At 36.7% G+C, this 23,906-nt stretch overlaps 1 protein-coding gene and 2 long non-coding RNA genes across 7 annotated transcripts in view, besides 6 other annotated features; 1 reads left to right on the forward strand and 2 right to left on the reverse strand.

Moving 5' to 3' along the window:
- The window catches only part of LOC124900465 (uncharacterized), a 145,830-nt gene that overhangs the window by 30,785 nt on the left and 91,139 nt on the right, over positions 1-23,906 (forward strand). Inside the window, exon 3 of one of the 2 annotated variants that reach the window (XR_007067822.1) lies at positions 5,296-8,506. The exons of the other annotated variant lie outside the window; for it this stretch is intronic. This is a non-coding gene — a long non-coding RNA (uncharacterized LOC124900465). Of the gene's footprint in view, positions 1-5,295; positions 8,507-23,906 lie in introns of those variants that run through there. 2 annotated transcript variants of the gene reach the window in all.
- On the reverse strand, positions 1,325-16,430 carry C21orf91-OT1 (C21orf91 overlapping transcript 1). 2 transcript variants are annotated; one of them, NR_038871.1, is made up of 4 exons: positions 16,398-16,430; positions 10,949-11,131; positions 9,469-9,533; positions 1,325-1,540 (listed from the first exon to the last, which is right to left on the reverse strand). It is a non-coding gene; the product is annotated as a C21orf91 overlapping transcript 1 (long non-coding RNA). The 2 variants fall into 2 exon arrangements; NR_038870.1 differs by lacking the exon at positions 9,469-9,533.
- Positions 4,388-4,607: an enhancer, noted in NCBI's record as "active region_18295". NCBI's record gives its function as "activates an Ori minimal core promoter by ATAC-STARR-seq in GM12878 lymphoblastoid cells {active_cell/tissue: GM12878}" and the evidence as "EXISTENCE:reporter gene assay evidence [ECO:0000049][PMID:35858748]".
- Positions 6,462-6,511: an enhancer, noted in NCBI's record as "active region_18296". NCBI's record gives its function as "activates an Ori minimal core promoter by ATAC-STARR-seq in GM12878 lymphoblastoid cells {active_cell/tissue: GM12878}" and the evidence as "EXISTENCE:reporter gene assay evidence [ECO:0000049][PMID:35858748]".
- Positions 8,480-8,549: an enhancer, noted in NCBI's record as "active region_18297". NCBI's record gives its function as "activates an Ori minimal core promoter by ATAC-STARR-seq in GM12878 lymphoblastoid cells {active_cell/tissue: GM12878}" and the evidence as "EXISTENCE:reporter gene assay evidence [ECO:0000049][PMID:35858748]".
- Positions 8,580-8,669: an enhancer, noted in NCBI's record as "active region_18298". NCBI's record gives its function as "activates an Ori minimal core promoter by ATAC-STARR-seq in GM12878 lymphoblastoid cells {active_cell/tissue: GM12878}" and the evidence as "EXISTENCE:reporter gene assay evidence [ECO:0000049][PMID:35858748]".
- Positions 9,080-9,139: an enhancer, noted in NCBI's record as "active region_18299". NCBI's record gives its function as "activates an Ori minimal core promoter by ATAC-STARR-seq in GM12878 lymphoblastoid cells {active_cell/tissue: GM12878}" and the evidence as "EXISTENCE:reporter gene assay evidence [ECO:0000049][PMID:35858748]".
- The window catches only part of C21orf91 (chromosome 21 open reading frame 91), a 30,383-nt gene continuing 19,371 nt past the window's right edge, over positions 12,895-23,906 (reverse strand). Inside the window, exons 3-5 of one of the 3 annotated variants that reach the window (NM_017447.4) lie at positions 20,503-21,039; positions 19,129-19,191; positions 12,895-17,499 (exon numbers count right to left, since the gene is read on the reverse strand). In NM_017447.4, the coding sequence (NP_059143.3) occupies positions 17,336-17,499; positions 19,129-19,191; positions 20,503-21,039 (764 nt within the window). In that variant the 3' untranslated portion in view covers positions 12,895-17,335. Of the gene's footprint in view, positions 17,503-19,128; positions 19,192-20,502; positions 21,040-23,906 lie in introns of all 3 variants that reach the window. The other 2 variants (NM_001100420.2, NM_001100421.2) reach the window with 2 other exon arrangements.
- Positions 17,881-18,050: an enhancer, noted in NCBI's record as "active region_18300". NCBI's record gives its function as "activates an Ori minimal core promoter by ATAC-STARR-seq in GM12878 lymphoblastoid cells {active_cell/tissue: GM12878}" and the evidence as "EXISTENCE:reporter gene assay evidence [ECO:0000049][PMID:35858748]".

Here is a 23,906-nt window from a genome sequence, read left to right on the forward strand (position 1 = left end):
TAACTAGTCTTAATGAGATGAGCCGTGTACCTCAGTTGGAAATGCAGAAATCACCTGCCTTCTGCACTGATCTCTCTGGGAGCTGCAGACCAGAGCTGTTCCTGTTTGGCCATCTTGCCAGCCACTCCTGTTGTCTGTTTTTTAAGAGGAGCATTTTACACTTTGTTGGTAATGAATAGAATGGGGTGCAGAATCATTGAATTATGGGAGGCATCTGTTTATGTGCCTGTTATAAAATAGGAGTTTTTATGACCCAGGGATAGATTGATGAATAGGCCTTTGAATGATAGCTGAAGAAACAGCACTTTTATAGTCTCCTACTTTTTAAACTAAAAGATCATCTATGAACAGCAAATTCGATCTATGATCTGGTTCATTTAATTAATATCACATGACTATTTGAATGTATAATTTCTCCTTTCATATAGATAACTCTTAAGCACAAGAGCAGCTTGCAAGGCAAATTTGCTGATGCTTAAAAACCCAAACAAATGGGGTAAGTCATAAGAGGCGATAAGAACAGTACATTTTGTCAATAGATACTAGACTTACTGAAAGTTGGAGCAAGACTCTGGTAGCCAGAAGGGCTGTCTCAAATCCCAGCTCCACCCCTTATAATAGAATAATTTCGTCAATGCAAATGTGTGCCTTCGTTTCCCATCTGTAAAGTAATAGTTCCCACTTTTTAGGTTTGTTAAGAGGATGAACTCATTTAATGATTGTAAAGTATTAGAACAACTCATGGCACTTGGTGGTTTTTGTATAGCATTTTATTATTATGTATTATTATTATTTATTCCCATGTCCTTTGGACTTTTAGTCTAGTTGCTCCTTCTTTTGTACTACTGCCACCCAGAAAAGCAAAAAAAGAACCTAATATGCTGGCTCAAATACATCATTTTGGCAAATGTATGTACGTATGTATGTATGTGTGTATGTCTACATATGGGCAGTCTCACTTCACAGAAATGTCTCTGCCTCCCTTCATTGAGGAGGGGCCATTTAGACCATTGTAGATGGCTCCCAAGTAATCTCTCCTTAGCGACCACTCTCACCACACTGTCCCAAAGTGACCTCTCATTGAAATGTTGAAGCCTCTACTAGTGAAAGTTTCAAGATCACTGGTGCTATAGTTAGCAGTTTAAAACCTTCTCAAAGAAATGTCTCTACAGGATAGCTTATTACAGGCTCTGTTTACACAAACCATCTGTGGGGGACTTTGGAATTTGGTAACTCATCAGTAGTTATAATGATCACAATCACCAGCCCCAAGACCAGGAAAACACCTCCAGAAGCTGTACATTTTTGCAAGTGACACAAGGTATTCATCATTGATCACAATCAGCATTGGATTTATTGTTTTAGTTTTCAAGAATCTTACTCTGTTCTGAAAACCATGAAGTTTCCTCACTTAAAAGCCAAAATGTAAATGTGTGACATGTATTTTTCCCCAAGGCAAGTGAGTCACTGCAGATGCAGTGACAAGCTATCCTTCAGTTTGATAGTTGATCAGTGAACTGGATGTAAAACTGCAGCAAGTCTGCAATATGAGGAAATTAGATAAGCAAGATTATCTCTAAAATAAACCTCTACTTTAAAAAATAATCTATTACTCCAGCCAAAGTACACAGGGACTGAGATGATTTGGGGGACAACATTAATAGATCATAGATGATTGATTCAATGTGAGAAGGAATAGAACTAAGGGTTAGAATTAAGGATTAAAACAGTCAGTGCAATGATTAAATACACAGGCATACGAGTTAAACTACCCGGGTTCACCCCTCTAATAGTATGACGGGCTAGGTTCTTAAATTCTCTGCACCTGTTTCCTCATCTGTAGAATGGAGATAATTGTACCTACCTCATAAAGAAATTGTGAAAACTAAATGTGATGATGTCTATAAAACTTAAGAACAATGCTTGCCTTTGAGTAAAACTCCACAAATGCTAGATAGTATTTTATCACTTATAATAACTAATGATTTCAAACTGCTAACATTTGAAACTTTGATGATCAAGGATCAAGAATTTGTGAATACTAATGATAGTATTTATTTTAGCAATTTAAAGTAGCTTCTTTCAACTTGCTAACATTTGAAACTCTAAGGATCAATGATTTGATGAAGGATCAAGGATTTCTCAATTTGGGAGCCATTATATGATTTTTTTTCTTAGTAAAAGCATTTCCATTTATATTTTGTTTCAAGCACTGTGTTATGATTGGATAGTCTTAATTGATAATATTTGTTATTTGTTTTCTTTCAATGAGTAAGCTTTCAATGAGTAAGACCTAAGAATAACAAAGATTTAAAAAAATTTTTCAATATTTTATATATATATATATAAATTACCACAGTTATACATTCATATTGTCTTTAAAGGTCAAATTGTATTTTCTTTTTTGTTGTTGTTTCTTTTTTTTTTGAGATGGAGTTTTGCTCTTGTCGCCCAGGCTGGAGTGCAATGGCTCAATCTTGGCTCACTACAACCTCCCTCTCCCGGGTTCAAGCGATTCTCCTGCCTCAGCCTTCCAAGTAGCTGGGATTACAGGCACCCACTACCACGCCCAGCTACTTTTGTATTTTTAGTAGAGACGAGGTTTCACCATGTTGGCCAGGCTGGTCTTGAACTTCTGACCTCAGGTGATCTGCCTGCCTTGGCCTCCCAAAGTGCTGGGATTACAGGCATGAGCCACCATGCCCAGCCCAAATTGTATTTTCTTAAGGAAAATATTCAGCAGTCTCACATCTTTTCTTACCCCCTCCTCATCCTCACTGCCTGACATCAACGTTGATCACTTGATTAGAGTCGAGTCTGTTAGGCTTCTCCACCAAAAAGTAATTCTTTCCCTTTTGTAATTAATAATTATTTGGAAGGATGTATTTTGAGATTATGTAAATAGTTCATCTCTTATGAAAAACTCAATTTATGTATTCATTTCATCACACAGATTTTCCTATTTCATTCAATGGATTCACTAAGTATTTGGGTGCTTACATTGCCTCTGATTTGGCTAGTGGGGACTCCTTCAATATAGTTCTCTGTTATTTTGTCATGTCCCCATCTTTTTTTAGTATTTCTGTACTTTCTGGAACAAAAATATATTCGACTTATCTTGTACCCTAAAGTCAATCATTTCTCCAAAAGGGGCCCGGATTTAGTGAACAGTTTTTAGAAAGCAGTATTTGGGTTCTAGTTGTTACTCATCGCTTTTGTTGGGGGTCACTCTCCCAGACCCCCTTCTCAATGGCCAAGCACAAAAGCACATTTACATCTGTGTGTATCTAGATTTGTATCTTATCTATCTATTGAAAATCATGCATTTACCCCATTATCTTCAATTGCAACCAGACTCACAGGGTTCATTCTGGTTCTCTTCTTTCATATTTGTAACTCTTTGAGGAATGAGAAACCGAACTGCTCAATTTCTTAATATATTTACTTATTTAAATTCCTTCCTATATAACCAACCCTGTGTTGCCACTTTGTCCCTGTAAAAGAAATCAGAATCTTGGGACCTCAAACTCACTACGCCAAAAGGAAAGTTAAGCCTGGGAACTGAGTCATGCAAATATTGCCTTCCTTCTTCCTGAAACAGATAGCTGTCATTTCACAATCCTATGTCATAACATTGTATGTAAGCCAGGTTCCCAACACGGCAAAAGGCCATATACATCCCCAGATGGCCCCCTTCACAGATTGCTCTCAAGGAAATTCCTTGTTAGCTCCAAAATCTTTCAGGATACATATTCCCCTATAAAAGCAACACATGCCAATTGTAACCTTGGTCCTGCCACCTAAGTTTAACTCCTAAAACCGAGTTCTGTTAAATCTCACCCTGACCATGTCAATTACGAGCTTATCTTCCAAGGTACAGAACAAGTACAAGACACGAACCACTCCTGCGCCTACTCTTGAGATGGATGCATAATTGTCTCTTTCCTTTCTCTTTTCAAGTGTTCACCTTCTTTTATGTAAAACATAGATTCCTTTAGTGCTAGTTACAGCCTCACAAGGATGTAACTATTTGTTTCACTGCCTACCCTCCTTCCCTTTCCCCCACTGCTTGCTTTTTCCCCTTAAGTAATGAGTTCCCCAAACCCTCTTCGGAAAGCCCAGGTTACAGATGCTCCTGTGACTTGTGTTTTTCCTGGGTCGTCCTCAAACTTTGGCTTAATAAACCTCTACTAATTGAGACATCTGCCTCATTTTTGTTTAATAACCTTTCCCCCTGCTGATGTTTCCTCTGCCCACTGAGGCTCTGGCACCCCACCCCCAATCTCCTGCTCCCCACTGCCCCCATGGGTGCCCTCCTCCTCCCACTCTAGATCTGATAGCCTGCATCAGACCTCCCCACCCACCCCATGCTAGGCCCTCCTGGTTTGCTCCAGCTCAAACACACCTCACTATGCCCCTGTGAATGAGGACTAACCCTAACCTTGCTTGTTGCACCTGATAGTTCTAGGATGGAATTGTTCCAAAGGAAAGAGGAAGGAATAGCATAAACTTCATTTTGGGGTTTTCTTAGGGGATTTTGCTGGTGCTATTTCTGGCATCTACCAGTAATGAGAGTTTACCTAAGTTGACTGATCAGAACAATTCGGCATACCCAGACATGTGGCTAAGCCGCTGGCTGCTCAGAGGCATGAATTCTTTCGTAGCGGTAGTCTGTTTTCCTGTTCATTAGCGCAACAGGAAACCAAGCACTGGTAATTGGATAAGTCCTCCTTTTACTTGTAATGAGCACCAAGTTAGTGGTAATGACTAAGAGGGCTACTTAACTGAGTTTCAGATCTTGTTCTAAAATTCTTTGTATCTAAGTGAGCTTCCATTTCAAATTCGTTCAGGTATGAGATTGGAATTTGGCTTCTTATGAGCTCATCTGCTATTCCATTTACCTTAGCCTTCTCTTTGGTTCCAGGATATGGTGCCAAAAAATATATTTCTGCACAAGAGATGCTAATATGATAAGGGACATCTGGGGGCTTTTGTACACATTGCTGTGATTTTCTTCTGTTGACCAGAAAATCCTAGCCACACAGTACCCACAGGCCCTTGAACATATGACTACAATATATAACTTGAGCTGCTTTAGTTTGAAGATCTAGTGAGGAGCAGCAGGGTAAGCGATTTCCCCCACCTCCAACCAGGTAATCACAATAGACGTGTGTAAGCTTTGAAATTTCCTATAAACAAATTTTGCTGAAACTGGCTTTTTGATGTAAAGCAGCATTTGTTATGCAAGTTCTACTGCTATTACTCTTCCCATAGTCTATTCTGGTTGACTTTCAGGATGAAGACATCTAAGCTACTTCTGGATTCCCTAGAAAACTTGTGCTGCCTATTCTTTTCCAACTGTGTAGTCCTCTCCTGGCTGTTTCTGTGGTCCAGCAGACTGTGGAGAAATAGCTTACTATTCCATTAGAAAGAAGATCTTGTGTAATAAAAATAAGAAGTGGTATCAGGTCATGGGAGCTTTGGAAATGGAATCGAGATTTGGTGCTTGTCTTTGCCTCTGTGGCTAACAAGGTATAGAACGTTTGGAAGTTTCTTAACTGACTTAGGCCACCTAAAGGTATTAGAGTAGACAAGCAGTTTGTAAAAGGTGCTTTGCAGGTAACCAGGGGCCTGCTGGTCTCTCATAGCTGCCTCAGAGGCTCATGATAGAAGGTTTGAGAAACTAGGGGATTGTCACTGAGAGGGATACAATGGGGACTTCGGTCGAATAATCTCCATTGTCTTTCGAGCAGAACAGCAGCAGCTCTATTTCCTATACATTTCACATTTTGTAATTCTTGAAGGATTTTTTTTAAAACAAAGACCTCTGCTAAAACCAAACCAAACCAAATCAAATCAAATAAAAGCTGCAAGACTCCTGAAGGTCCCTCTAGCTCTACATTTTTAGTACTTTCCTATGATATTTATATATCCCACATGCTGGTTCACTTTGTCATCTGAGATGAGACTAATCTGTGTCCATCTGGGATAGAAATTTCTTCCGTACTTTGATGAAAAGCAGTGTAGTCCTGCAAGATGTGAGTCTATTTCCCCATACTTTATTGACACAGGTATGAAGATGAGAAGAGATGGAGGCAGCAAAGGAAATGTGGTTTTGCATGTCACTAGCTCAACTCCCTCTGCATTTTCTTTTAAGCAAGGGAGGTGCTCCATTGTCTCTATAGGGCAACAGCAGTTCACTGGGTCCCCACATTTTTCTGGGGCTTTTGTGAGAAGCAGTAGGCAGGAACAGTGAAGAGAAACTTAGCAGGAGGCCCAGGTGCTGTCTTTTCTAGTTTCAGAGCTATCTGATCAGGACAAAAAGGAACAAGCTTGTCCACAGCAAGATGGCCAGCAACTTGGTTATTTACCCAGTTAGTCTTGGGGAACACTAGAGCTCTTCCAATAGCTGGGACTATTTAAATTTTTTCAAGGAAACATATGCTGTGGGTTGGTGGTAGATGGGATTCAGGAGGATCCTTCTCTTATACAAGATGACTTTCTGGATAGGTGTTTGTGGGGTACAGAGGGAGGGAGCAAGGAGAATAAGAGAGGAACAAACCAAATGTTCAACATTCTAACACTCTTTAATAATTTATCTAAAATTATTGGATATTGAATTATTAGAGGCATTGAATCTTTTACTTTTTGTATGACACTCACTCAGTCTTCAAATAATTTCTGATTGAACACTAGATTAAGAGGAAAAAATACCACAAATGAAATAACTTGTATTTTTGTTACGCAAAGGATTATTCTAAAAAATAATAAGCTGTTCCTCTAAGCCCTTTTAGAACACATGGAAAACTTCAGAATAGTGTGAGGGCGTCTTACATGCACTTCTTTCTTTGGAGATTGTGATAACCCAAGTAGAGGATTTAGGATTGTGCTGCTCAGAGACAACTGTTTGGATAAAATAATGCCAGATTCATCGTTTCCAGACTTGTTAAATTCATGGAGTATTAAAATAAAATTGAAATAAAATGGAAAATATGATGCCCAGTTGTTTTGTCAAAACCAGTCTAGGTGTTGCTTTGAAAGTAGTTTTTAGATATGATTAACATTTAAATCAGTAGGCTTTGAGTAAAGCAGATTACTCTCTGTAATGTGGGTGGGCCTTGTCCTATCAGTCGAAGGTCTGAAAAGAGTGAGGTCCCCTGAAGAGGAAGGAATTCTGCCTCTGACCTGCCTTCAGACTCAAGACTGCAGCATCAACTCTCGGAGTTTCCACCCATCCAGGCTGCCCTGCAGGTTTCAGACTTGCCAGCCCCCAGAGCTGGTTTAGGGAATTAAACCAATCTTTCTCTCTCCACATATATACATACTTTGTTTTGTTTCTCTGGAGAACCCTGACTAATAGACCAATACAAGATTGTGGTTTTAATTCCACCAAGTAAGGACTGAAAACTAAACAAATAAACAAAAATGAAAATCTACCATCTATTGTCATCACTTCATGAAAGAAAGAAAAATTTACTATTCCCATAGGAAAGACATACTCTCAGAACAAAGAACAATTTTATTGATGAATAAATTCTATCCTATTAACTAGCTTACCACATTGCCTTTACGTGTCTCATTTTCCACACACAGGAGCCAGCCTTTAGGAACTGTGCTGGAGGTGACCCAACTTCTGATTGTGTGGGAGAACTATCCCACTGTTACTCCTAAGAGAACATTCTCTCCCAATAGCTCCCCCGATATGGAATGTGACAGAGTAACAAGATGCCAAAATATATAGACCTCTTTTTCTTTCTACAACATAGGTGCTCTTAAACAGTATGCAGAGGATTGTGTAGCTGCTTATAATAGGAGCCAGGCTGACACAGCTCTCTTTTCTCTTTTGTCACAGGTGATCACAGAAATAGCTTGCTGTAACAGCACCTCACAGTTTCCTCTTAAAATGAAACCACATTTTCTTTGTGCCCTTTCAGCTCAGTTCTGCTGTTCATAGAGGGGCTTGGGAGATTTTCCACTGTAGGTTTCTTAAAATTCATTATACTTGTAGAATGTTAGAGCTAGAAGGTCCCCTAAAGATCATAAAGTTCAATTTCATTTTTTACAGATGAGAAAACAGAGGCTAAGAGAGGTAAAGAGGTGCTTAGTTGTGGCAGAAGATTAGAAGAGAAGTTCCTGCATGTCGGTTTAGCAATCATCTTGCTCATTACAACTTCCTCTTCTGCCTTAATCACTTTTCAGTTCAGTAGCCTCTTTCCTCTAGAATAGCCCTTCTGTATTCACACTGCCTTTTCTTTGCTTTGAAGTTACAGATCTGAAACTCTTGCGTTAGCTATGCTATGGTTTTCTTCCACATTCTGTACACTGTACTGACCATCCTCTTATAAACCTCTTCTCTTCTAGGTTAAAGATTTCTTGACTTCCCTCTGGTGAAGCTTGATACCAACTGACCTATAAGGGCTTGGTTTTCACAACAGAGTCTTAGTCCACCCTCGCCATCGCACCAAATACTGAGAGAACAAATAAAATTATTGCTTGAAGAAACGAAGTAAAGACTATAGTATTCATATTTTTCCCACATGCCATTTGCAGTAGCTTTTCATATTTCTCATCTATCCCACACTAGAAATTTCATCTATTGGCTTTTGTAAATTTTCTTTTTGAGCCACAAATTTATCTCAGTTTCAGATTCTAATCTATTTTCAGTAGTGCTTTCAGTTTAGTTTACTCCCATTTCAAAAATACTCCGTCTTGTTCTTTACAGCAATAAAATCCAAATGCAAATTCCGACAACCTCAGCCAATGGTGAGTCATGGTCCCTCATTTCCACCTCTTCTAAACGGTCATGGTTGCTCATTTTCACTCTTCTAAGCACCTCTTCTTTACAGCAACAAAATCAGAAAGCAAATTCAGGCAACCTTAACCAATGGTGAGTCATGGTTCCTCATTTCCACCTCTTCTAAACCCCTCCTCTGATGGTCAGGACCCTTCTCATTCCTCAAGTAGTAACTATTCAGCACTTTACCACTTCCCTTGAATCTCTGACCCATTATCTTTTTCGTCTTTCTCACAGAAAATAGAGGCAGCCATTTAAGTACTTTCTCAACTTACTCTCCAACAAATCTGATTCAAATACTTTCATCTGTAGTTTTACCTTCTCTCTAGTGTCAAAACCTGAGGTAATCCTAAACCTCTTCAAAGACAAGTCATTCTCGGTGTGCTACTCTGTTCTGTGTCTTCAAACTGGGCTCCTTTGATTATTGCTACCTCTCTATCGTTAGCCTTTCTACTGGCTCTGTCCTCTTAGTATTTATTCATGTTCAAGTACTTCCCAACCTTAAAAAAATAACCTTGACCCAACATCCTCTTTACCTCAACTTCACTTCATAAAATTTTAAAGACATCATACCTCAAATCCACTATCCTACCTGTCTTAGTCTATTTTATGTTGCTATCACAGAGTACTACAGAATGGATAATTAATAACAAACAGTTATTGATTTGGCTTACAATCCTGGAGGTTGGGAAGTCCAAGGGCATGGTGATAGCATCTGGCAAGGTAGCAAGACTTCATGCTGTGTGATAACATGGTGGAAAGAGCAAGAGGATGTGAGCAAGCAAACAAGAGGGGGCTGAACTTGCTTTTATAACAAAGGCACTCTCATGATAACTAACCCACTCCGTCCATAACATTAATTCATCCGTGAGGGTAGAGTCTTCATGACTTAATCACCTCTTAGTAGACTCCACCTCTCGATGCTGTTGCTTTTGGGATTAAGTTTCCAACACATGAACTTCAGGGAACACATTCAAATCATGGTACTACGTTGCATCCATATTACAATCTGTTGTGATCTACTTTTGCTCCCACAGGTCCATTAAAACTGTACTCCATGAATTTCTGGTTGCTAAATACAATGAACATTATTCAATCCTTATTCTTTCAATCTCTTGGCAGAATACTTTCCAGTTGACCAACAGAGTCTTGTTGGCTTTTATATCCCTTAGACCCAAAGACTTACAGGGCTTGGCAGAGTTTCTGGCAACATAACGAAATCTGAAAATTGACGAAAGATTTAGAATGGAAAATAAGTGGATGCCAAATGGTGAAGGCTTTAAATGCTAAACTGTGGGGACTGGCTTTTGTTTTGTAGGCAGTGATAATCTAGAAAGGTCTCTTAGCAGGAAAGTAGCATTACCACATCTTTTGGGAAGTAAATTCTGGGGCAGTTTATGGTTTGGAGCAGTGGTTTCCTTTTTCTCTTTTTTTTTTTTTTTTTTTTTTTGAGACAAAGTCTTGCTCTGTCACTCAGGCTAGACTGCAGTGGCACAATCACGGCTCACTGCAGCGTTGACCTCCTGGGCTCAAGCAATCCTCCCACCTCAGTCTCTGCCCCACCAAGTAGCCAGGACTACAGGCCTATGCCATCATGCCAGGCTAATTTTTATATTTTTTGTACATACAGAGTCTTGCTACATCGCTCAGGCTGGTCTTGAACTCCTGGACTTAAGCAATCTACCGGCCTTGGCCTCCCAAAGTGCTGGGATTATAGGCATGCGCCAACGTGCCCATCCTAAAGCACATTCTTAACAGGAAAACTGACATCTGCATTACCAAGAGGTTTAATTTCTCTTCAGAATCTTCCCAGCAGATTCAGTTGACTCAAAAGGCAGCCCATGTGGCTGAGGGTTAGTTTAGATATGCATTGGCTCTTAGCAGTTCACCTCTGGAAATGAATTTCATAAGATCTCAGAGTAGAACACAGGACATAGACCCAGTGGAAGAGGTTAGGTTTAACAAGAGTTCTGAGTTGCAAGCTAGAGAAAGCAACTAGTTGACTTAGGCTATAAAGGAATTTATTCAATGGGGAGAGATCACCCAGAAGGCTGGGAAACCACGCAGGAACAAAGGTGATGTAATCAACTACTAGGATCACAGTCTAATGTACACAAGGCAATGGCTATTCAAACACCAATGTCAGGAACTTACCTGTTGTACTCACTGGATATGGGATAATGGCTGTTGTCCCTGCTGACAGTTAGCCATTGATGCCCTCAACACAGGCCTTCTCCTATCCAGTTTCTTTGCTTTACCAGTCAGGGCGAGGTGCCTCAGATACACAGGAGGTTGAAGTTTTTGCTTCTAGAGGTGGTGACTTGTGCCATCCAAACACTAGAAAGGGATTCAGACGTGGAAGAACAGCAGAAAACCACAAAACCAAAATCAAAAATAGAAAATAAAACCCAAAGACATAAACTTGCAAGGATCCAATGCATCACTTTTATCAGATTCTAAAAGCAAAACCTTTCGAACAGGTTTTTATGAATTTAGAGTATCAATATATAAAACAGGCCTTGTTCTGCCTGCAGCTCCCCTTCCTATTCTATCCATCATCCACGTATGACTTGTCGGCCTCTAAGACACCTGCAAAGAATTTCTGGTCCTATGATACATTAAAAATTAGGGGAGAACAAACCATTTTACAAATAGTTTGAAAATTCCCAAGAAGGCTGGGAAACTGAGCATGAGCAAAGCCTAACAAATTCAGGCTTAGAAAAGTTAGTTTCTCTTAATGTCAGTTAGTTAAAGCTAAACAGGAGCACTTCATTTGTAGTCTGGTACTCTTTCCAAACCAGACTCTTGGTCTCCATTTCCTCTCCTGAAAAACAAAGCAGTATGACTATTAGACTTTGAAGAGACTTTCAAAAACGACAGATTCTTCTAGTACCCCACGAAATGTTTCAATTCTCCAGCAGTCCTTATTTTGTAATTTGCCTCTGAGCTTTTGTAAAATCATCTGTTTCCTAGTTTTAAACTGCTTGTTGCCATAAAAGCATCATATAAATGACTTTAAAAATCATTTGTGGAAAAAAAACTGGTAATGTAATATTCAGATTCGTAATGCTAACTAAAAGTGACCTTGAATATTTTGTTGTATTCCTATTTTAATATTTTTAAAGCCGATTTAAAAATATTCATATTCATATAAGCCCCAAACTAAAAACAACTCAAATGTCCATCAACAGGTGAATAATTAAATTATGATATATTCATACAAAGGAGCAGTACTCAGCCAAAAAAAGAAAAAAAAAAGGAAATGAACTATGAACTATTACTGATCTTTGAGCTAACATGGATGAATTTTAAGAACATCCAGTGGAATGAAAAAAGCCTGGAGCAAATGAGCATATGCTGTATCACTACATTTATGTAAAGTTTTTAATGCAGGCAAATGCAAAGTACAGTAATAAAGATCAGAACAATCAGGCCAGGCGCAGTGGCTCACACCTGTAATCCGAGCACTTTGGGAGGCTGAGGCGGGCAGATCACCTGAGGTCAGGAGTTCAAGACCAGCCTGGGCAACAAGGCAAAACCCCGTCTCTAGTAAAAATGCAAAAATTAGCCGGGCATGGTGGTGTGCACCTGTAATCCTAGCTACTCAGGAGGATGAGGCAGGAGAATCGCTTGAACCTGGAGGTGGAGGTTGCAGTGAGTTGAAATCGTGCCACTGCACTCCAGCCTGGACAACAGAGTGAGACTCCATCTCAAAAAAAAAAAGGATCAGAACAATCAGTGGAAGGGAAATAAAAAGTGAAGTGACTGTGAGGGGAACCAAAGGGAGTGATGGCTCTACAGTTGCATACATTTGTTAAAATTCAAACAATACAGTAAAATGTTTGTGCTTACTGTATATAAATTACACCCCAATTAAAAAAAATTGCATACACATCTAGTAAGTCACAGGCAACTTATTTCCTGCTTCTGTATTGTTGGGAAACAGAGAATATTAAGTATCAGAGATAAGGTAAGATTATTACAAGAAATTGTCAGATAAGATCATTTATAGACTCCCTAAACCTGCAAAGCAAAACCATATAGACCCACTATTTAAAAAAATATAGCTACTTTTCAAAGCATCCACTCAAGCTAGCAGATAACAAAATACTTATTTTATTGTTGTAAAATTAAAAATAGTAGACAAGCATATATACAGTTCCCAAGCAGAGCAATACAAATATATAAATTATTGCAGTTTTCAAAGAAAATATAACAGCCAAATAATTGCCTACTTTTTTGAAACAAACTTGGTTTTTACCACAGCAGTTTCATTTTCTTTTTCCAAAAGTCTTAACACAATTTTGTAAAGTAAATTTCTAACACCAGAGAGATTAAGTTCAATGACCATAGTATACGCTACTGTTTTAAAGCAAGGTTCACACACACACACACACACACACACACACACACAAAATGGAACTGAACAAAAGTCACTACTTAATACTTTCTAAATTGCCTCTTTTGGAGGTACGGTGAAAGAAAAACATTCTAGATGCGTCTGAAAGAAACAAGGTACACACACTTACTAAAATTCCCCTTTGCTTTAGGTGTAGTTGAGGGAAGTTCAACTAATCTTTAAACCTTTTTTGGGAGAGGGCAATACTCATCTTCATGAATTTTTGTTTACTTTGGTAAACTTAAAATTGTGAAATAATTAAATATTATTAAAATGTATTAGTAATGTGGACTCAAACTAAAAAGAACAGGGAAAGTGTATGTTAACAAACTAGATGTTTTGGAGACTTGATATAATATGGTTCATATCAATGTTACCATAGCCAGAAGTTGCTTAATAGGTTAGACTGCACCATAATCAAGGCAATTATGAAAGGATGAAGTGAAATGAAAATACTGAGATGCAAGCATTATAGCCCTCCTCCAAGTTACCTTTATTTTGTGTGAGGGCTCTAGTATTCTGGTAAATAAACTCTTCCCTGCCCCATGACCACAAAACTTTACTTGGTAAGAATAAACTGTTGGGGGTTTTATCTCTTACTAATTCTCACCACAAATTTCCTCAAATAGTTACTCCCACCAACGTAAAAGTTAAAAATACAATCATACACTGAAACGGCATCAATTATCTTTGCCTTACATCTGAACAAAAAGTATTAACTTTTTTATAGCGTATTACACTTCTTAATAAGCACTTAGTAACAACATTTGTCAGTAAATGAACTGGCATACATCAGAAAAAGTTGACAATAGAAGAATTTTACATGGTACCATTTCAAATTTTCATGTACAAGTAACCCACTTTATGGTCACTAACCTGAACCTCCTAATAAGCTACACAAATAATTTACTCTTTAAAAATTCCTACTTTAGAGCATTTACATTTTATAATTTAATAATGAAAGCAGATTCTTCCAAAACAAAACAAAACCCAAACTGGGAAACATTAAAACACAAATAGATCTAAAAGCTTACTTTAAAAAAACTACAAAAATGGACTAACAAGCCTTACCAGTGTAAACACTAAGGTAAAAAATATATAAACAACATAAAGAAAACACAAAACCATTTTCAGTCATAAATATAGTAAAATGAAAAACCAAATCTCAAGATGCCTGTCAAGATATATTTGACTATATATTTTGACTATATTTCTGAAATCACTAACATGAACTTGACATTGAAAAAATAATCCTTAAATGTATATAAAAATGGGCACTTTGTGGTAAAATGAACATGTGTTTTGAAAAACTAAGAATGTGTCTTTGCTCCACCATTGTGCATAGTCAACGACACAACAAAACACTATTCTGCTGCCTGAATCATCTATTACTGGAGTCTCAAGTGCATGCCTTTTAAAAAAGACTAATTTAGATATTAATATGAGGATCAAAGGATAAGATGATAATCTCAAAGTAAAACATAATTGATTTTTAGCTTCATTATAAGGCTGAACTTTAAAGAGAACAACCTGTGTGGTCAAAAACACTTTTCTAATTTTTAAAACTCAATTTAACGTGTCAAATTATAAAACTGAACGTGAAAAAGATTTGTCTTATCTCACTCCCCTTAATCATATAAGCTCTGAAAATTTAGTAATGGATGACTGGCAGTCTGTTTTGCCACTTTTTAAACAGTAGTACATGAGATATGCTTCAAAACATTCTCAAAAATTACTAACAACTGTAGAGAATAGCCAAGTGTGGAAAACAATATTTGTGATATTTCATGTTCTCTTGTTAGAACTCAACTCTGTACCTGATACTTATATTTGCATACACAGTAATTGCATATTTGATTAAGAAAACTAACATAGGACTAAATTATAAGTTTACCAAACATTTGGATAAACTGCTGTGCAAAATACTTCAACAAAAAGTTTTTTTTACTAGGAACTCATCCAAATAAAGTAGTGTGAGTACCAGCACCACAAAGTTTTTTTTAAGAGCACCTCTCCTTTTTAGAGCTTAAGTAGAAATATCTAAATGGAATAAATCAGAGTCCCACTTAAGACCTTAGCACATGCACACGTTCATCCACTTGTTCCGTACTCATTAGCAAAGCTATGTATATTTGTCAGAAAACTCCTTTCTTTGGATAACACTGTTGTATTCAGGACTGCAACTTATGGCTCATATTCTGGAAATATGCTACTATTGATATCAAATGCAACATATCCCCAACTTTTATGACTGTCCCTAACTCATCTAAACACAAACCCAAATGTGTGCAAACACACTGGCTGGTAACAATCTTACTGAATTACGCCAAAAAAGAGTAAAGTCAAATTTGAAAATGTGGGAACAATTAAGCACTAAGATATTAATCAGGAAATGTATTTACCCAGCTTGTAAGTTTGAATATTTTGATATTGCACACATTTAATTTAAAGCTCATCAAAACTAAGGCAATGCATCCATACTCCCTGGATTTTAAATTCATTTTGCATGACTTAAAGAATTGAGAGAAATCGAAAGCATCTTTCAAAAATTCCCTCCAAAAAGTAATGTTATACTTCAAAGAAAAACAAAATCAACAGATATCAATTAATACCCTCAGGCCAATTTAACACGTCAGCATTACAAAAAGTTGTTTTCAATTAAACTGAAGTGTTTCTTTGCTTAAATACTTTCTTGTGTTCAACAACAAAATCTGACCCAAGCCAGGGTAGGCTGCCAAATTTAAGGCAAATGTCATTTATATCTTTATGCATGAAGCTGCCACGTTACTGGGCTTTTCAGCAGATACTTTCAAGCAAGGATCTACCTCATAAGTACATTCTAAACATGAGTTAAAAACAGAATTTAGAGCCCATTTTAATTCTGCATTGGTTATAGCCTTTACTGTAATACATTATTAAAATTTATCTAGCTGTTTGGCACAATCTGTTAGATAAAAACTCTTTGGAAGCATCATAGGCAACTTACGAGAACATTCTCTTAATACATAGGTTTATTTTTTTTTAATTAGGAGTTTTGCTTTTCTTCTGTAGAACAATCCTATATTTCTCTATAGAGTCTAAAGTTTAGAAAAATACCTCACAATGCTTTCTTTGAGCACTAAGTTCAATGATGGTGATAATACAATTTGGACAGTTTAAGTATTCTTGAAACTTTACCCAAAGTGGCACACAAAATAATCTTACTTTTTTTTTTCAAAGACAGAACAATTTCACAGCACACTCAATTTGAAGATAGACATTATATTTGAATTGGAAGTGAGGCTTGACTTACTCTGTCCAAATTCTAATGCATCACAGTCACTGGTGTGAAGCTAATAATGAAAGAAGCAAGAGGAGGCTTTCATTTCTATGGAGACAAATTGACATAGAAGCCAGATTAGTCTTTTCTTCCTGAACTAAGAACTGCTTTTGTTAGAAAACAAAATAATGTATTGTATTTACCTGAATACTGCTTTAAAAAGTTATTAATTCTTCTTTTACAAGAGGTATTAGAAATTAAAACAACTCAGATTTCTAATCCAAAATATATTTATCTTTGGAAAGCAAGGTAACCGTTGTGAAAACATTGTATTAAGAGAATAAAATGCAGTGACCTGAAATATGGGTGAACATATTCACACATGATAATGTAAATAAATATACAGAACCACTCAAATACACATTTATAAAGAGAATGGCAAAGTACCTAAAATAGCATTTTCACATATAAAATTTTTATATTAAAATATTGCTCATAATAAATAAGAGGTGATATGAATTCCATTTCCCTCTTAAAAATTATCTCTAGTAGTTTACACTAAGGAGTTAATCTGTTGTTTTGACAGGTGAATTAAAATGTTTAATAAAATGACACTGTAACAGTATATTTAAGTAGTCACATGTGATAAAATTTGTTTAGTAATTCTGGGAAAAAAGAGTCCCCAAATGAGCCAAAATGATTAGCCCTAGAAGACTAGAGTATAATGATCTGCTTTATTTGACAAAGATGTTAAATACTGCCTTATGTTTGGCAAATTTAATGACCATAAAAAAACGGACCACAACTTTCTTCAAACTTCTTCAAAGTTTGCATGTCTGGGAGACCAATAAAGGGCAGGGCATACGAAGTAAGTCTGTTTAGGTCAGTTGTTTATGGGTAGGTGCGACTTCATTCCTGTTCGCCCTACTTGCAGACATGGTAACTTAGAACAGTTCTTCAGAAGCTGTTCGATGGCAACGTGGCGGACATGGAGCTGTGAGGCCAAAGAATCTTTTTCTTGCACTTGGTGAGTTAACTCTTCAAAAACTTCTGTAAAAGATTTAAAAACTTTCATTTTTAGTATGCAGAAAGCCGGTGCTATGATTTATATTTCAAGAACTCTAACTGAAATCTATGCATTGGGCAAAGTGTCACAATGAAACTGATTTGATACCAAGGAAACAGTTCTGTTCTCTACAAAGCATATCAGTTCTGATCATCCTAGGCATCTGTATACTTTACATAGCCAAATGGAATTTGGCTCTTCTCCATCAAGTGACTACAGAGATACACAGCAAAAATGGTGGTTGCTACTGTAGCTGAGCTACTTTTCTCAATTAGAATCTATAAACAGATTCAATTAGTACATAATGTGATTTATGGACAAGAAGTGCCTGTTAGTATTCAGGTCTGGAACCCCCTCTAAGAGGCTTTGGAATCAGACTACTAAGAGTTTTGAATCCTTGTTCCTACTCTTACGTGCCTCAGGCAAGCAACTTTTGGTTTCAATTTCCTTTTCTGTGTAACATTAATAATGATAGTAAGCACTTCACCAGGCTACTGTAAAAATTAAATGAGATCATATTTGTAAAGTACTCATAAATTTCTACTACAACTATTATTGTGATTATTTTTATTATTCTGAGAGGCTGTGTGGTTAAGCTTTGGAGTTTAAATCCTTGATCTGCTACTGATTGGATGCATGATCTCTGTAAGCAACTTAACATCTCTGAAGTACAATTTTCTCATCTAAAAGGAAATAAATTGAAAAGGAGACAACTGCGGAATCTGAACATTACTTGTTAGTGTTAGCATTATACTTGATGACGTTAAGGAATTATTAACTTTAAATGGTGTGATAATGAGACTGTGACTGTTTTTTAAAAAGTTATCTCTTTTAGAGGAAATCCTAAACTATTTATGGACAAAAAACAGTGTGTTAGCTAGGATTTGTTTGAAAATAATCCATGCTACTGGTAGTGCAATGGGAATGGATGCAAGTAGAGATACTGATTATTATGCCTTTGCTAACAGTTGAAGCTGGTGAAAATGGCTTAAAGGGTTCACTATACTAGTCTCACTACTTTTATATATGTTTGAAATTGTTTATAATTTAACAAAAAAGACTAATATCACATGCCTTAAAGAACTGTTTGGGAGGACTCCCACATAGTGCCTGGTGCAATAGTGGGTAGTCAATAAAATGTTAGTAAGAGGTGGTAGTTTCCATTTTCACTTAGAAAAGAAAAATGTGGCTGGGCGCAGTGGCTCACACCTGTAATGCCAGCTCTTTGGGAGGCTGAGGCAGGAGGACTGTTTGAGCCCAGGAGCTCGAGATCAGCCTGGGCAACATGATGAAACCCCCTCCCTATAAAAAATAGAAAATTAGCTGGGTGTAATGACAGTAAGTCCCAGCTACTCGGGAGGATCACCACTGCACTGCAGCTAGGGTGATGAAGCAAGATTCTGTCGCAAAAAAAAAAAAAAAAGGAAAAATGTATTTCCTCTGCAGTTGAAAGTTGTTTCTTTCTTATTCTTTTTGCTCTGGAAACTCTAACAGGTTTGAATATCTCATTTCCAAATTTAAATGTAGATAAAGCCAGTGGTGTCCTATCATAGATGATTTTCTATGTCAAAATTTGTCACACACAAAAAAGTACTGACAGTGATTCTTACCCTGGATTTGCTGTAGGAGCTTTGCATTCAGTTGCTCTACCTCACCAAGAGTCATCGAATTCACTGAAACATGAAAATGTATTCACTATTACCACAACAACCTAGGAAAACATGCTGCTTACATCACCAACACAATATCCTATTTTTAAAAATCAGCACTTAACTGCCAACACAACATTCAGCAGTACTCCAGTATTCAACCATTAACGCTCGTAAGTGTGGAGTAGAAGTTTTCAAACCCTGACCACAACCCATGGTAAGAAAATTTTATTTTTATTCTTTTTTGAGACAGGGTCTCACTTTGTCACCCAGGTGGCAGTGCAGTGGTGCGATCAATGGCTCACTGTTGCCTCAACCTCCTGGGCTCAAGTGATTCCTCCCACCTCAGCCTCCCTAGGAGCTGGAATCATAGGCGTGTGCCACCACACCTAATTTTTTTATTTTTTGTAGAGATGGGGTCTCCCTGTGTTGTCTAGGCTGGTCTTGAACTCCTGGGCTCCAGTGATCCTCCCACCTTGGCCTCCCAAAGTGCTGGGATTATAGGTGTGAGCCACTGTGCCTGGCCAGAAACATATTTTTTATCACTCCCAGTACATCACCACCCTCCAATGAAATAAAAGTTTCACCAAAAAATAGTAGTAGGTCCAATGAATTCTGGTATCTCCTATTCGGTTTCAGTTTTTAAAAAGTGTTAGTCACTACCCATTAAGCTTATTTTGATTAAGCATTAGATAGTTTATAACCTGCAGTTTGAAAAATAAATTTGTCTGTCTAGATGTAGAATCTTAAATAATTCACATTTAGAATCAAGAAGTTGTATAACAAGATAGCAGAGGTCCCTTCTGGCTCTGAAAACATGATTTCAAGACAATTAAAATCACCTCAGCTTCTGTAAATTTTTGTAGAAATAGATGTAGAGAGAATGAGTCACCCTTTCTAACTTTACAATAAGTGCACACATTACCTTTGGCCTTTAGTAAAATGTCACATTTTTGCTTCTGAAATGCCACCACCAGTCAATTAGTCTTACAGGGATCAGCAACATGACAATGTGTATTAGCCAACAGATGAAGCTGTACTTCTAAACTATACGAGTCCTAGATGTTCCAATTCACAGTTTGTTGATTCCATTTAGTGTAATCATTTTAAATGGCAAAACAAACATGGAAATTGCTTAACTTCAATGCTTAGAAGACAGAATCCCAGTGAATGAAAAATTTTAAGATGTCTCATTTTTGCTAAGGTGAACCTGTTAAATACAATGTTTCCCAAATCTATGATTCCACAGCAAAATTCTTGACCCATTACACATCTATACAAATGTACAAAAATCCCAAACCACCCAACTTTTACTTTTCTCCCCATTTTACTTACATTCCTCTCTGCTGTAATGTGGATGCTGGGTCTGGACATTAGCCTCTGGACTAGAGATTGTCTCTTCTTTTTTCTGTGCCTGGTTGTGACTATGAGGCCACAATACACTGTTACGACATAAAGTGGCACCTGAATCTTGTAACATAGAAAGTCCAAAGTCTGTATTTTCCCTCTGCTCCAAAATTCTTTGTGTACAGTTAGAGATGCCACCTGCACTTCCATCTATCCATTTTGCAGAATATTTTGGTACTTGGGAGTCAAACTGTGGGAGTAATTTTTCTTCTGGCTTATGCCTGAAATTAAACAGATGATGCTGGGGGTTTTTAGAACATTCAGAATCTGAATCCAGATCCTTATTTTGTGCATACTGCACAATCCAGTTTATCTTCTTACTCAAAATGGTTTTAACTTCTTCATAAGTACTTTTTGAAAGCTTAGATCGAGGACAACCCTGGTTTGCAATTAAATGGTATTTTTCAAAGCAGTCTTTATGGCCCCTTAATGATTTGGTGTGCAAGAGATCAGACTTTGGTACCCCTATGGAAAAAAAAGAGAAACAAAAGACTTGAGAAATTTTGTTTTCTATAAGTCACTTTAAGAACATACAAATCTTAGTAAAATCAGAGTCCCTGATAGTCTGTGAATTAGAGGAAAAATGCTAAAGAATATTAGTATTAATATACAATGTGGCCTAATAATTTCTGCTTCAATATTCAGTAATATTAAATTCTTATGGATAGCAAAATCTTTCTAAGAACTTAATTATTCAATTTTAATCCTAGTCTAGAGATGTTACTGCACGATATAAAAAAATACTACTGAACCCAGCAATTTACCTTTACAGATTCTTGGCCTTTACATTATAGTGCTTTCTTCATGAAACCTTCTGAAGTACACACTTGCAAAAATATCTATAATATTATGAGGTTCAATAACAGAAATACTGAACAAGTTTTCCTCCCTAAAACACAGTAAATCATGTTCTTAAATTATGTTTATTGAAAAAAAAAAAACCAGAACCAGAAAAATGCAAATAAAAGTCAAAAATTCAATAAACTATTTAGATTTATTTTTAAAGAAAATCAAAGCATCTAACATTTTTCACATTTCCATTTTATAGTTACTAAAACCTTATCAAGATAATTTTATTTTCTAGAAGAAATGCATTATACTCAATCATTTTCCATACAGCAGTAAATTCAATCTGCCAAGATCCAACAGCCAGTAATTCCTCAACTCACAAATGTTCATTATATACCATAAATAACAGAAATATTACTTTTATATCTCTCAACTTAGTAGAGTATAAGTATGCTACCTCAATTGTTTTTTAAAAATATAAAAATTATAAAAATATAAAACATTTTCAAATATCTAATACATTTCAAAATACAGAATATATTCACACATTTTTATAAGTTCAAGCCATGTTATTAAAGTTAAACAGCGCTACTTTTATGCTGAAGGTGAATTAGGAATGTGGACCTGAAAATTTATGTCTGCCAGAATTAACCAGTTTAAATCTGCTTAGCTTTTCAAATGGAGTAAGCGGAGAGCCACTCAGGAGCTAGTTTAAAAAAAAGTTTTAGCTGATTCATCAGAAAAAAATACATTTTGTAATTCCTCCTTTCCTTTAAAAATTGAACTCATAGTTATTTTATTTGAACTCCAAAGTCTGGCTAAAAGAAAGATAATGAAGCATTTGTACTTTAATGGTATGAAATAAAGTATTAGCATACTTGTGAATATTAATGTTTTTAAAAATATATATAGTATCAGCCAATGGTGGGACTTGATGAGACTGTCAAAACCAAGTGTTAAATTGGTTATCAGTTCCCTCAACAGTTACTGTAAGCTATGTGAACACACCTCTAAAACATTAATATTGTAAGCACATGTAAACAACTGCTCTCATGAGGTAAACTCAAATATCTGAGCCTTGTTTTTTCCAATGAGTACAAAAATTGCTGGAAACTTAAACAGAATTTAATATACATCTTATTTATCACTTTGCTCCTTGTACTGCAATTGTGAGCACGTATACATTTCTACCAGTTATTATCTGATTAGGTCAAATTTCCAGCAACATTAGAATATGTGAATTATAAATCTCAAAGCTTTATTTGATAATAGAGTATACATCTTTAAAAATGGGAAACTGACATAAAAAGGAAGCTCACGAGCTCTGCTTTATTAAGTTTTATTATTACGCATTTTAGATAATAAGACAAAACAGTAGTTATCACAAGTTATACACCAAAGGAAAAATGGTTCCATTCTGCTATCTGATTCCAATGCTTAGTTTTCTGGGAAACACTGGTATGCAGAGAGAACCTGAAGCTTGCCTATTACTAACTGAAACATTTATTAAAGAGCTCCCCTACCCTCTGCAAACTCTTTTAGGTCTTGTTGCCAACAGATGGTTAGCTAATCCCTCAAAACCGTAAATGGTCTCATTCTCAGTGCACTGCCTCAGCTCTATGTAGCAATGAAATTCTTTAGCATATAAAAAAGGTTGTGAACTAGGCTATGGAAAGTAATTAATATTTATTGTTATATTTTGTGGGTTTTTTAGTATTTATACAGAAACTCCGATAAAAAAGTACATTAAATAACTAATTTTCTGATGTACTCTAGAGCTTCAACAATAGGTCAATATAATAGATATCTATTTGAAGAATAATGAGGACTTGTAATGTTTATCTACTGTTTCTTCTTAATGATTCATATAATATAATTTCCACTTAGATGTACCTATTGGCTCCTCGAACTCACCTTACTGAACACTTAACTCCTTTATCTCTCTCACCACACAACTCCAAAACTGATCCCCTTACTGAATCTGGCATCACCAACTAACTGCTCAAGGAAGAAACCTGGGTGTCCTCCTTGAAAGCTCTTCACTCCCCGCAATCCCAGAGGTTTTGCTGACCGTCTTAACAGATTTCTCCCCCATAAAATCTAGCACCTACAACATCTGAAATCCTTCTGCTTCACTCAAGCACCACTCCCACTACAAATGTGGGTCATGATCATCATCACCTCCTGTCTAGTTCTCATTTCCCCTAAGAAGCCTTGTCTAACCCAAATGTCTGGGTTAGTTTATCACACTAGATTTTACAATTGCCTCTTTCGCGGCCTGTATCTCCTGACAAAATGTAGGTTCTGTGAAAAATATGGACCATGTCTATCTTACTCATATATTCTCAGTGTCAAAATGCCGGGCACATAGTGGGTACTCAAAAGTAGTTAAATGCATAAAAGAAAATTAAAAATATATTTTAAAACACCAAAAACAAATCAATTATCACTCAAGGTCCCTTGCAAGGTCCCTCCTAGCAAGGGAACTAGAATTTGCAGTTCTGCCAGGCTACTCAGCGGGTAATTAAAGGTGTCTTTCAGTG

The sequence above is a fragment of the Homo sapiens genome, chromosome 21, assembly GCF_000001405.40.
Source record: "Homo sapiens chromosome 21, GRCh38.p14 Primary Assembly".
Lineage (NCBI taxonomy): Eukaryota > Metazoa > Chordata > Mammalia > Primates > Hominidae > Homo > Homo sapiens.